This window comes from Homo sapiens, chromosome 6 (assembly GCF_000001405.40).
Source record: "Homo sapiens chromosome 6, GRCh38.p14 Primary Assembly".
In the NCBI taxonomy this organism is placed as follows: Eukaryota; Metazoa; Chordata; class Mammalia; order Primates; family Hominidae; genus Homo; species Homo sapiens.
The window spans coordinates 33,501,298-33,515,703 of record NC_000006.12 but is presented as its reverse complement, the minus strand read 5'-3'; positions in this window follow the sequence as shown (position 1 = coordinate 33,515,703).

The window sequence follows — 14,406 nt, the reverse complement described above, 5'->3', positions numbered from 1 at the left end:
GCTGTACTGGGAGCACAAAGATGGCCACAGATAGCATGTGTGCAAATGGGCATGGTTGAGTTCCGGTAAAGCTTAGCTTTCTTCTTGTTTTTTTCTTTCTTTCTTTCTTTTCTTTTCTTTTCTTTTTTTTTTTTTTTTTTTTTTTTTGAGACAGGGTCTCACTTTGTCGCCCAGGCTGGAGTACAGTGGCGCCATCATGGTTCACTGCAGCCTCAACCTCCCAGACTCATGTGATCCTCCCACCTCAGCTTCCTGGGTAGCTCGGACTATAGGCACCAGCCACCCCGCCCAGCTAATTTTTGTATTTTTAGTAGAGACAGGGTTTCACCATGTCACCCAGGCTGGTCTCGAACTCCTGAGCTCAAGGAATCTGCCCGACTCAGCCTCCCAAAGTGCTGGGATTACAGGCGTGAGCCACCGCATCTGGCCTCAGTGAAGCTTTTTTTCCAAAACAAGTGGCCACTCAGGTTTGGCCAAGGGGTGTACTTTGCCAACGCCTGTTCTAGAGGTTTGAGGGGAGGAGTCACACTAGATGGGGGCTCCTGCAGAGAAATCTCACAGGAGCAAGGTTAGTGTAGCAGAACCTGCAGGGCTGCCCGCCTTATCAGGGGGGTCTAGCAGGAGACACATGGACGGTCCAGAGACCTGAGTTCTGCCATGAAATAGCTGAAGGACTAGCCCCCCGTCTCTCAAAAGCATGGGGCTTCTATGAGAAGCAAAATAATGTATCTGCACATGCATTTGTTTGTTTGTTTGTTTGTTTTTGAGACAGTCTTGCTCTGTCGCCCAGGCTGGAGTGCAGTGGTGCAATCTCGGCTCACTGCAACTTCCACCTTCCAGGTTCAAGCGATTCTCCTTCCTCAGCCTCAGGAGTAGCTGGGATTACAGGTACCCGCCACCATGCCCAGCTAATTTTTGTATTTTTAGTAGAGACAGGTTTCACGATGTTGGTCAGGCTGGTCTCGAACTCCTGACTTCAGGTGATCCACCCGCCTCGGTCTCTCAAAATGCTGGGATTACAGGCATGAGCCAATGTGCCCGGCCGGCACATGCTTTGGAAGTAATATGGTAAGTACACCTAAAATGGTGATTTATGTGAAAAGAGTCACTCTTTCTCTAAATAGTTGTTGAGCCCCTGCTCTGTGCCACCTTCCTGCCAGAGGTAAATTCAGGAGTGTCAGAATGCATATGGTGTCTAGAGCCACAAACTAGATGATTTCGAGGGGACCCACGAAGGTTGAGCTGCAGACCCTAACACTTAAGAGGGAAGTGACAGATCCAGCATGGAAGTTGTGACGACGCCCTGTGGAGTCGGCAGAGCAGTGTGAAGGAAGGGTCTCAGGAGGGCTGGGATGGCCATCGCCTCCAAGTTCTGCCAGTGGGTGGGTAAGGGCAGGCTTGGGAATTTGCCACCGGATTGGTCAAAGGGACTCCATTGGTCTCCTAGGGCTGCTGTAACCAATGGCCACAAACTGGGTGGCTTAAAACAACAGAACTATATTCTCTCATGGTTCTGGAGGCTGGAAGTTCAAAGTTAAGGTGCCAGCAGGCTGCGCTCCAAATGCTTGAGGGGAGATTCCTTTGCCTCTTCCAGTTTCTGGTGGCTCCAGGTGGTCCTTGGTTTGTGGCTGCAGAACTCCATCCTCTGCCTCTGTCTTCACCTGGCCATCTCCTCTGTCTGTGTCTCTCCTCTGTGTGTCTCTCGTGACACTTGTCATTGAATTTAGGGCTCGTTCAGATATGATATGATCTTCAGATTCTTAATTGTGTCTGTAAACACCCTTTTTCCAAATTAGTTCATGTTCCTAGGTTCCAGATTTGCGAAGTGAACATATCTTTTAGTGGTGGAAGGATCTTTCAACCCACTAGACATGGTGTCAGTGGAGGAACACGTGGTGGACTCTGGAGAGAATAGGGTGGAGGGATGCAGACAGCAAGCCTGTCTAGAGCCAGAGGATGAGGCTGTGCTACACCTGCCTGGTAGAAGCCAGGATCCAATCCTACCCAACTCAAGCGGCCTCCTAGACATGCCCCTCGCTGCACACACACACCTTTGCTCAGAAGGCAGCAGGTGGAGGGGGGGGGGGACTTGTATTGCAGTACTCCTGTTACACAGCTTTTGTAACAGCCTTTCTGGAATTAGCAATTGCAGTATGTGCCTTGCTTCTGGGTCTCTAGGTGCTTAAAGGACACATGAGCTTGGTTGGGACTAGGATGGGGCTAGCATCACGAAGGCTGCAGGACAGGAGGTAGAAAAGAACAAACTTGCAATGGCCTGAGCTGCCCTCTGGGGCTGCTGGCTGCTGCACACTCAAACCTATGGCACAGCTGCCTGTTCCTTAAGGCTGCACTGGGGACTTGCAGAAACTGGGTTGCCTGCAGTGCTGAGGTGGCTCTCCATAAAACAAACTGTGTGACCTCCCTACAGCCACCCCCACTTTTTCCACAGGAAACTTGTCCTCCTGTAGCTAAACCCAACCTCTGTCCCAAGCTTCCAGGGTAAAGGAGAGGCTGTCTTCCAGCTAAATGTGGGGCACCCACATCAGGCTTGGCATCAAAGCCACTGCCCAGATGCCCCCATGGCAAAAGCCCACCCTAGCTGTTTTGCATAGGATTTCTTAAACAGGCACACAAATAGTTGGTGTGCTTTGGGAACAGTGAGCTGTAAACTCAGCCTTGAACAAAAGAGAACTAAAAGGAAGGTCTTAGGAAGGAGGCCTTGGCCAGAATGCCAAGTTTCCAAGTGATGCCAGGATGAAGTTACTTATTGGAAAGGGATAGTACCTTGGGGGAGATGTTGGTCAGGGAAGGGGGATGTATTTGAAACTTAGTTTACATTTGGCTTGCAAAAAGGCTTTCCTTGAAACAGACCTCCCTAAATAAGTTGGGTCCCCTGTTCTTCCATTTCACTTGTTCAGTGTCCATCATCGCCCTAGGAGGGCAGCTCTGCCATGACAGGGACTGGCCCAGCCTGTCTGCCTAATGCATGGCTGACACTGGGTGAATTGGAGGAGAAGGGTGGGGAGAAATAGTCAATGTTATCTGTATCTCAGGCCTGGGTCCCTGGGAGAGGGCTTTCCTCTGAGTGGTTGCTGTCTGACATCCCTCTCTGCCCGTGCCCTAGAAGGATGGCTGATGCTGTCTGCCTGCAGGAGCTGTCAGCACCTGGCCCTGCCCTGCCCTGCCCTCCCCCTAGCCCATAACACTGCGGGGGATGGAGAAGGGCCGACCCTCGGATGCTCACCTGGAGTAACGGAGGATGAGTGAGTGCCACCCTGCCCCCCTCCCTGTGATGACTTCTGCTGATAAGTTTGCCACAAGGGCCTCCTCTGTTGTCACCACAGCTATCACTTGCCACCTCCCAGCTCTTCCTCTTCCCTGTTCCTTCCCTTTATCAGCGGACTCCAGCTGAAGGAATGCCGCAGGGGCCGGCAGCATGCTGTCCCCAGTGGCAGCATAGGACCATACACCTCATTCCATCCTGTCCTCCCAGCAGTCGGATGTATTTGAAACCATCTGATGGAAGCACACAGTCTTTTTTTTTTTTTTTTTCTTGAGACAGAGTCTTGCTCTGTTGCCCAAGGTGGAGTGCAGTGGCGCAATCTCAGCTCACTGCAAGCTCCGCCTCCCGGGTTCACACCATTCTTCTGCCTCAGCCTCCAGTGGCGCGATCTCAGCTCACTGCAAGCTCTGCCTCCCAGTTCACACCATTCTCCTGCCTCAGCCTCCCGAGGAGCTGGGACTATAGGCGCCCGCCACCACACCTGGCTTTTTTTTTTTTTTTTTTTTTTTTGGTAGAGACAGGGTTTCACCATGTTAGTCAGGATGGTCTCGATCTCCTGACCTCATGATCCGCCCGCCTCGGCCTCTCAAAGTGCTAGGATTACAGGCGTGAGCCACCGCACAAGGCCATGGAAGCACACAGTCTTACCCATGTTACACACACATCTGGGAGAGGGTTTCTGCACTGGCGTTTCTCTAGAGGATGGACCAGGCCTCAGCTGTTTCTGAGGTTTGTTTCCAGAGATGGGATTACCAGAGAGGCCCACTTTCTATGTCCTGGACTGCTCTGGTTTGACTTTTTTTTTTTTTTTTTTTTTTTTTTTAACAGAGTCTTTCTCTGTCTACCAGGCTGGAGTGCAGTGGTGCGATCTCAGCTCACTGCAACCTGTGTCTTCTGGGCTCAAGAAATTCTCCCACCTCAGCCTCCCAAGTAGCTGGAACTATAGGCGTGTACCACTATGCCTGGCTAATTTTTGTATTTTTAGTAGAGACGGGGTTTCACCATGTTGGCCAGGCTGGATGGCCTTTCTTAAATAAACATTTTGTTTCAGAATAAAAATAAATAAAATATGGAAAATATGGCCAGGTGTGTGGCTCATACCTGTAATCCCAGCACTTTGGGAGGCCAAAGCGGGTAGATCCCCTGAGTCCAGGAGTTCGAGACCAGCCTGGGCAATATGGCAAAATCCCGTCTCTATAGAAAATAAGAAAATTAGCTGGGCATGGTGGCTCATGCCTCTGGTTGCAGCTATTCATGAAGCTAAGGTGGGAGGATCACCTGAGCCCAGGAGGTCAAGGCTGCTCCTGTAAGCCATGATCACATCCAGCCTGAGTAAGCCCCTGTCTCAAAAAAAAAAAAAAAAAAAGGAAATATATGGGCATTGTTTGCTAATTATTGGTTACTAATATCTTTTTTTTCCTTTTGGTTACAAGTAACAGCTAGTATCTTTCATAGTTATGTTTTCAGGATTAGGGCTGTGCTTAACTGACCTTTCCATAATGTCTATATTTCTTTTGAAATTTGACACATTTTCTAAAAAAGTCCACATGTTTTGTAAAGCACAAATTTAAAACAATTTTTTAACCTATTTTTGGCCAATAGTTATAGGCAAATAGTTCCTATCTAACTGAATAGTCTTTTTTGACTATTAAAGCCTAGCTCCAATGGCTTTATTGGATCATACACACTGAAAAGCGTGTATCATCTTGGAATATTTGAGAAGTGTCTGTTTCATTGCTTACTGTTTTACCAATTGCAAAGTTTTTTCTAAGTGATGTTTATTTCACACTTTTGGAGGGAGGAGAATGTCCCACAGCCAGTCACTTGGGGCCTTGTTTCCAGAAGTGGAGTCCTGGAAATAACCACATCTGTGAGCAGTGGGTGTCTCATGGTATAATGTTACGGTCAGTGTGGCCTAGAAGTGAGCTCCAGCACCCTGCCACCCTCCCGACACAGGACACTAAATATGTAACCAGAAAATAGAAACAAGAATGGCTCCTGTTTCTAGACTACTTAAAAGGAGGGAATCTCTTATTTTTAGATTTAAATTTAAACTTTATTTTTTTTAGAGACAGGGTCTCGTTTTGTCACCCAGGCTGGAGTGCAGTGACACCATCATAGCTCACTGCAACCTTGAACTCCTGGGCTCAAGTGATTCTCTCACCTCAGCCTCCCTAATAGGACTGCAAGCACATGCCACCACACCTGGCTGATTTTTAAACCTTTTTATGGAGACAGGTTCTCCCTATGTTGCCCAGGCTGGTCTTGAACTCTTGAACTCAAGTGATCCTCCCACCTTGGCCTCCCAAAGTGCTGGGATTATAGGCATGAGCCACTGTCGAAAGGAGAGAAACCTTTGCAATGTGAATAGACTTTTCTAAAAGCACACTTGGCTTCATCCCTCAAACTTACTTGATTCTGATGCTTTTTCTCACTCCATAAACTCTTTTACAAAGTTGAATTTACCTGTGTCGTTAAGATAGGTAATTTCCACTGTTAGATCCTTCTTAGAGGTCACTTCCCCTTACCTACTGCTTAATACGACTTTTTTGAGGGGGTGTGATTAAGGACATCATGGGACTAGACTGAGCTTTTTGAAAGCAGGGGCCATTTCTTAGTCATCTTGGGTATCTGCAGCACTTGTTGTGAGTGAAGGAATGAATGAGGATGGAATGAGTGATGCCTGCTCTGCTTTCACATGGCCATAAAGCAGCCATCCAGGTGCCCATTCCCAGGAGGAGGTGGGGTCCATAGTCTCCACCCCCAAGCCCCCACCCCTTCCTGGACCCTGGTGGGAGCCCAAGTGTAAAGCAGCCCAACCCAGGGAAGGGGTTACAGCTGGACAGCCCCCAAAACACAGGAGGGCAGATTGCTCGAGCACCCCAGTCTGAGAACAGTGGGGGCAACATGCCAGAATGGAGGTGAAGGGAACGGAGGGGCAGGGGCGTGAGCTCACCTCCACCCTGTGGCCAAGGAACAGGGGCACAGGGAAAAAGGGAAGGAAACGTCCTGGGCTTAGCAGGAGAGCGCAGACCTGTGAGAGAAAGCGAGGAAGAGCTTGCAATGTTGGGAGGAGAGGCAGGAAAAAAGTTTCCTTTCCTCAGAGGAAAAGGAAGGAGAGCCCAGTTTTAAAAACAAAACCCTCAGCTGCATCCTCTATTACCAAAGATCCCGGGACGCTGATCCTCAACAGCGGAGAGTGGGCTGGGACACAGAGTGGTTCATCCGCCCCCGAACTGCAGACAGCAAGCTGTGGGAGGAGCAGGTTTATGGGCCTTGAAACCCTCTGAGATGGGAGAGATAATTTCCATAAAATCCAGGATTGCTAGAGAGTCGCAGACTTGCTTCTCTAAATGGCTGAAAATAGAAAGTAGGAAGTGAAATTAATAGAGCTGGGAATGAGAAAGAAACAAGGCCATGTGTGCGTATCTTTAAAGCTAGAAAATAATAACCACATCTTCTGAACATATTACATTCCCGATGCCGAACTAAGCAATTTGCACTTATTTAATCCTCATATAACAATCTAAGAAGACGGATATTACAATCTTGTTTTATTGGTGAGGAAATTCTCTCAGAGAAGTTGTTACCACACCTGTAATCCCAGCACTTTGGGAGGCCGAGACGGGCAGATCACCTGAGGTCGGGAGTTTGAGACTAGCCTGACCAACATGGAGAAACCCCGTCACTACTAAAAATAGAAAAATTAGCCAAGCATGGTGGCACATGCCTGTAATCCCAGCTACTCGGGAGGCTGAGGCAGGAGAATCACTTGAACCCCGGAAGCGGAGGTTGTGGTGAGCCGAGGTCGCGCCCTTGCACTCCAGCCTGGGCAACAAGAGCGAAACTCTGTCTCAAAAAAAAAGAAGTTAAGTTACTTGCCCGAAGCCACATAGCTGAGCCCAGTTCCAGCTGACTCAAAAGGGTACGAATTTAGTCACTATGTCGGTTAATTTCAAACTTTGTTTCTTTGTTTGTTTTTGAGACAGATTTTGCTCCTGTTGCCTAGGCTGGAGTGCAATGGTGCAATCTCGGCTCACTGCACCCTCCGCCTCCCGGGTTCAGGCGATTCTCCTGCCTCAGCCTCCTAAATAACTGGGATTACAGGCATGTGCCACCACACCCAGCTAATTTTTTGTACTTAGTAAAGATGGGGTTTCACCATGTTGGTCAGGCTGGTCCTGAACTCCTGACCTCAGGTAATCCACCCACCTTGGGCCTCCCAAAGTGCTGGGATTACAGGCGTGAGCCGTGCCTGGCCTGCTTTCAAACTTTTTTGACTAGGACCCACAGTAAGAAATATATTTTAGACAGGGCCCAGTGGCTCACGTCTGTAATCCCAGCACTTTGGGAGGCCGAAGCAGGCAGATCACCTGGGGTCAGGAGTTCAAGACCAGCCTGGCCAACATGGCGAAAACCCATCTCTCCTAAAAATACAAAAACTAACTGGGCCTGCTTTCAAACTTTTTTGACTAGGACCCACAGTAAGAAATATATTTTAGACAGGGCCCAGTGGCTCACGTCTGTAATCCCAGCACTTTGGGAGGCCGAAGCAGGCAGATCACCTGGGGTCAGGAGTTCAAGACCAGCCTGGCCAACATGGCGAAAACCCATCTCTCCTAAAAATACAAAAACTAACTGGGCGTGGTGTTGAACGCCTGTAATCCCAGCTATTCAGGAGGCTGAGGCAGGAGAATTGCTTGAACCTGGGAGACAGAGATTGCAGTGAGCCAAGATCGCGCCACTGCACTCCAGTGTGGGTGACAGAGTGAGACTCTGTCTCAAAAAAAAAAAGGAAAGATATTTTAGATTCTAAGCCAGCACACATACATATAATTGATAACTAAAAGGAAAATTTTTATAAAATGCATGTACCCTTACTACTTATTATTTAAAGAAGAACCTTAGTCAATAAAATTTAGCAGAGTTTATTTGAGCAAATAATGATTCATGCTAGGTGTGGTGACTAATGCCTGCAATCCAGCACTTTGGGAGGCTGAGGTGGGAGGATCACTTGAACCCAGCAGTTTGAGACCAGTCTGGGCAATATAGTAAAACCCTGTTTCTAAAAACAAACAAACACGCAAACAAAAAAACGCTCTTCCATCACTTGAGGTCAGGAATTCGAGACCAGGCTGACCAACATCATGAAACCATATCTCTATTAAAAATACAAAAAAATTATTCAGGCATGGTGGTGCACACCCGTAGTCCCAGTTACTCGGGAGGCTGAGGTGGGAGAATCACTGGAACCTGGGAGGCAGAGGTTGCAGTGAGCTGAGATCGTGCCATTGCACTCCAGCCTGGGCAACAGAGTAAGACTTTGTCTCAAAAAAAAAAAAAAAAAAGAGAGAGAGAGAATCCATGAAAGAGTGGTTTGTAAAAAAAGCACTCACAAGTGTAAGTTGTAATTTATATCTTATGTATAATTTTTTTATGGGGGACAGAGTCCTGTTCTGTTGCCCAGGCTAGAGTGCAGTGGCGAGATCTCGGCTCACTGCAACTTCCACCTCCCAGGTTCAAGTGATTCTCCTGCCTCAGCCTCCCAAGTAGCTGGCATTACAGATGCGTGCCACCACACCTTGCTAATTTTTATATTTTTAGTAGAGACGGGGTTTCACCATGTTGGCCAGGCTGGTCTTGAACGCCTGAACTCAAGTGATCCACCCGCCTTAGCCTCCCAAAGTGCTGGGATTACAGGTGTGAGCCATATCGCCTGGCCTATATCACATATATATAATTGCCTCTGTCCCCTCCACTAGAATGTGAACCCTTCAAGAGTGGAGAATTCTTTCATTCGCTACCTTGTATTTCCAGCACTTAGCCTAGGGCCAGCCATTTAGATGCTCCTCAATACATTTTGGAGGAATGCTATCATTAATTAATCAATATCTGCCTGAAAGAGGACTCTGGGGGCATGGGCCAGGGCTTCAGCCTTAGTCGTCTTATGTTCAGCATTTTTCTCAGCTACTTGGACATGGAAATGGATGACATATTTATCAAAGTTTCAGGTGGCGAAAAACTGGGGCAGCCAAAGTACTGGATGACAGAATCAGGGTCCAAAAATAACTTAGCAGCCTGGAATGGTGGGCTGAACGAAGATAAAGAATAATAGAGATCTGTATTTTGCCTTTCTGTCTAAAACTTAGCTTCATAAGCACACGATGAGGGGGTAGATGATTTAACAGCAATACATGTGAGGGACTTGTGGTTTTTATTGCAAGCTAATGAATGAAGCAGCAGTATGATAAGGTCACCACCTCTGCAGACTTAGACTGCAAATACAGACTCAGTGAACAAAAGAGGGAGACCAGAGTCCCTCTACTTTATGCGGGTCAAATGACACTGGAAAAACTGGCTTTGTCTGAATGACAATTATTAAGGAAGACATCGACAAATTGCAAACCTTTTTAGAGAACAATATGTTGAACTTGTCTGCAGCACAATTAAGAATTCCTGTTAAGTATAAGACACCATAAAGGTATTGGATGAATAACAAACTAGGAAAAGATATAACGTGTAAAACTAACACATAATTAATATCTAGAGTATTTAAGGAATGTCCGCAAATCAACAAGAGAAAGCCAGGAGCCTGTAAGAGTAAAGGTCACAGGGAATGAGTAGTCATTTCACAGAAGAGGAAGCTTGAACTGTTACCAATATAAGAAAAGACACTAGGATTCACCACTAATCAGATAAATTAAATGAAAACAACAGGACTTCCTTTTTCTGGTAATAGGAGTATAACTCTCTCAAGCAACCCTCCAGCTGAAAACAACTAAATAGTTGAATAAAATACTGAAAACAGGCTAGGCATGGTGGCTCATGCCTATATTCCCAGCACTTTGGGAGGCCAAGGCGGGTGGATCACCTGAGGTCAGGAGTTCGAGACCAGCCTGGACAACATGGTGAAGCCTTATCTCTACTAAAAATTCAAAAAATCAGCCAGGCGTGGTGGCGGGCACCTGTAATCTCAGCTACTCGGGAGGCTGAGACAAGAGAATTGCTTGAACCCGGGAGGCAGAGGTTGCAGTGAGCCAAGATCACACCACTGCACTCCAGCATGGGCAACAGAGTGAGACTCTGTCTCAAAAAAAAAAAAAAAAAAAATACTGAAAACATCTTCTGTAAAGAATTGACAAGGTGGGACAGCATCACTCTGTAGGCAAAGGAGAGAGGAGTCCAGAAGCTGTTCTTTCTCCAGGAACCTTCACCCATTAGGGGAGGGTGGAGGGTTGAGCTTCTGCTGATGATGTATTTTTCCCTGCCTCCCTCCCTCTTTCTTTCTTCCTCTCTCTTTCTTCTTTTCTTTTCTTTTTGTAGAGAAGCCTCACTATGTTGCCCAGGCTGGTCTTGATCTCCTGGCCTCAAGCAATCCTCCTGCTTTGGCCTCCCAAAGTGCTGAGAACCACTGCATCCAGCCCAATGGCCTCTTTCAATGAAAGGATCTGTATCACAGCCCAGCGCTATCCTAGGTGGGAAACCTATCAGGACATCCCCTTTTCCCCAGTGAACTAAAAGTGGACCAACCTGCCAGAATTACAGCCTGGCTCTATTTGCCTGGATAATCCAGGGAACCCCCAAGCCTTGACTTTGGGTAGCCCAAGACTGACAGTGCTCCCAAGCTCCTAGCAGATGCAAACACAAATTCTCTGCAGAGGAAATCACCTTCATCTTGGCCCTTAAATTATTCCCACAAATAATTTTTCAAATATAATGACTAGCATACAGTCAAAGATAACTAGGGACACAAGGAAATTAAGCTTCAGGTCACTGCCCTAGAAGTCCAATTTCTGCAGCTGTGGGACTCCAAATCTAACACCTGGGGGCAGGGATATCATAGAGTCTCTGGCCACCAACAGCTATGTGCCCCAGGACCCAGAGACTGCATGAGTGAGAGAGAGTGTGGGTACATGTGTGTGCCACAATGCTGGAAAGTTCTGCCTGGCAGAGCTGGTATGGTTTTGTGGCATAATATAACTTTTGCAGAGATCCAGAGCTTATGCCTATAATGCCAGCACTTTGGGAGGCTGAGGTGGATCACTTGAAGCCAGGAGTTCAAGACCAGCCTGGGAAACATAGTGACCCTGTCTCTACAAAAAACATTAAAAAAAATTAGCCAGGTGTGGTGGTATGTGCCAGCTACTTGGAGGGCTGAGGTAAGAGGATTGCTTGACTCCAGGGAGGTCAAGGCAGCAGTAAGACATGATTGCACCACTGTAGTCCAGCCTGGGAGACAGAATGAGACCCTATCTCCAAAAAAAAAAAAAACCACCACGTTGTAATTTGTGTAAAGGTGCGAAGGTGCTCTAAGGCCTAGTGGCAGCCCCATGTACATACATTAAATATTACAACTATCTGGCTGGACACAGTGGTTCACACCTGTAATCCCAGTGTGTCCAGAATTGGTGGGTTTTTGGTATCACTGACTTCAAGAATGAAGCCATGGACCCTTGCAATGAGTGTTACAGTTCTTAAAGATGGGGTGTTTGGAGTTTGTTCCTTCTGATGTTCGGACATGTTCGGAGTTTCCTCTGGTGGATTTGTGGTCTCACTGGCTTCAAAACTGAAGCTGCAGACCTTCTCAGTGAGTGTTACAGGTCTTAAGGCAGTGCATCCGAAGTTGTTCATTTCTCATGGTGGGTTCATTGGTTCATGATGTCACTGGCCTTAGGAGTGAAGCTGCAAACATTCATGTTGAGTATTACAGCTCATAAAAGCAGTGCAGACCCAAAGAGTGAGCAGCAGCAAGATTTATTGCAAAACACAAAAGAACAAAGCTTCCCCATTATTAAAGAGGACCCAAGCAGATTGCCACTGCTGGCTCAGGCAGCCTGCTTTTATTTTCTTATCTGACCCCACCCACATCCTGCTGATTGGTCCATTTTACAGAGAGCTGATTGGTCTGTTTTACAGAGAGCTGATTGGTGCATTTACAATCCCTGAGCTAGACACAAAAGTTCTCCAAGTCCCCACTAGATTAGCTAGACACAGAGCACTGATTGGTGCATTTACAAACCTTCAGCTAGACACAGGGTGCTGATTGGTGTATTTACAAACCTTGAGCTAGACACAGAGTGCTGATTGGTGTATTTACAATTCCTTAGCTAGACATACAGGTTCTCCAAGTCCCCACCAGCTTAGCCAGATAGAGAGTGCTGAGTGGTGCATTTACAAACCTTGAGCTAGACACAGAGTGCTGATTGGTGCATTTACAAACCTTGACCTAGACACAGAGTGTTGATTGGTGTATCTACAATCCCTTAGCTAGACATAAAGGTTCTCCAAGTCCCTACTAGACTCAGGAGCCCAGCTGGCTTCACCTAATGGATCCTGCAGGGGGCCACAGGCGGAACTGCCTGCCAGTCCCGGCCGTGCACCCACACTCCTCAGCTCTTGGGTGGGCGATGGGACCAGGTGCCACGGAGGAGGGGACAGTGTTCGTTGGGGAGGCTTGGGCATGGCAGGTTGCAGGTCCCAAACCCTGCCCCTCAGGGAGGCAGCTGAGGCCGGGCTAGAATTCGAGTGCCGTGCTGGCGGGCCAGCACTGCTGGGGGACCCAGCGCACCCTCTGCAGCTGCTGGCCTGGGTGCTAAGCTCCTCACTGCCCCAGGGCCAGTGGCGCTGGCCGGCCACTCCGAGTGTGGGGCCACACCCACCTGGAACTCGCGCTGGCCCGTGATCGTCTCCCACGCCTCTCCCTCCACATCTTCCTGCAAGCAGAGGGAGCCGGCTCCGACCTCGGCCAGCCCAGAGAGGGGCTCCCACAGTGCGGCGGCGGGCTGAAGGGCTCTTCAAGCACGGTCAGAGTGGGCGTCGAGGCCGAGCAGACACCAAGAGCGAGCGAGGGCTGCCAGCACGATGTCACCTCTCACCAGCACTTTGGGAAGCCAAGGCAGGTGGATCACCTGAGGTCAGGAGCTCAAGACCAGCCTGTCCAGCATTGTGAAACCTCTTCTCTACTAAAAATACACACAGACACACACACACACACACACACACACAAATAGCCAGGTGTGGTGGTGCATGCCTGTAATCCCAGCTACCTGGGAGGCTGAGGCAGGAGAATAACTTGAATCTGGGAGGGAAAGGTTTGCAGTAAGCTGAGATTATGCCACTGCATTCCAGCCTGGATGACAGAGTGAGACTCCATCTCAAAAAATAAAATCAAATATTACAACTGTCTGTTACATACTACATGGTGGCTTATGCCTTTAATCTCAGCAGTTTGGGAAGCTGAGGTGGGAGTATCACTTGAGGCCAGGAGTTTGAGACCAGCCTGGACAACATCATGAGACCCTGTCTCTACAAAAAATAAAAATAAAAAAATTAGCTGAGCATGGTGGTGCATGGGAGGCTGAGGCAGGAAGATCCCTTGAGTCCAAGAAGTTGAGGCTGCAGTGAAATGTGTTCATGCCACTGTACTTCAGTCTGGGTGACAGAGTGAGACGAAGTCTCAAAAAAATGTTTTTAAGTTCATATAATAAAATGTAGCCTAAAGCCAAATCTGAGATGTGAAGACCATATGTTAAATTTATATCGAATAATGAACAAACACTCACTATTTTGTGGAAAGTTGATTAAGAGACCCAAAGCAGTACTTTAAACACATTCATAACATATGTTTAAAACAGTAAATTGAATCTATCTTATTAAAATCAGATCCCCTAACTCCATATACCAGATGCAATTTGTGCTGATAATATTTAAAACAGTTTGCAATTCCTGAACATCCCTGGCTGGTCCCTGGAAGATGATCCTTGGGAAAGTTCTATGGGTGGAGGTGGGGGCTGCCTAGAACCTGACATTCAGGCTGGGCACATCTGGCAGCCTGTCTGGGCCTGGATAACAGAGGATTGACTACTGAAATGTATTGCCACCCATCAGCTTTCGTATTTCTTGGTTTGTTGCTGTAAAATTGTTTATGTTGAGGCTACATTTGCAAACTCCTTATTAAAGGATTAAAATTACACTGATTTGCTTTGTTGTATTTGGAATGCAAAGCTCAGATACATTTTTATTGGATTCTGGAAGCCCTAGGGGTTTCTCATAAGTAAGCTGCTTGTTAATTGCCTTTTTTGTACATAAACAAAATCCCAAATTGGAAAAATAAAAGAAAATGG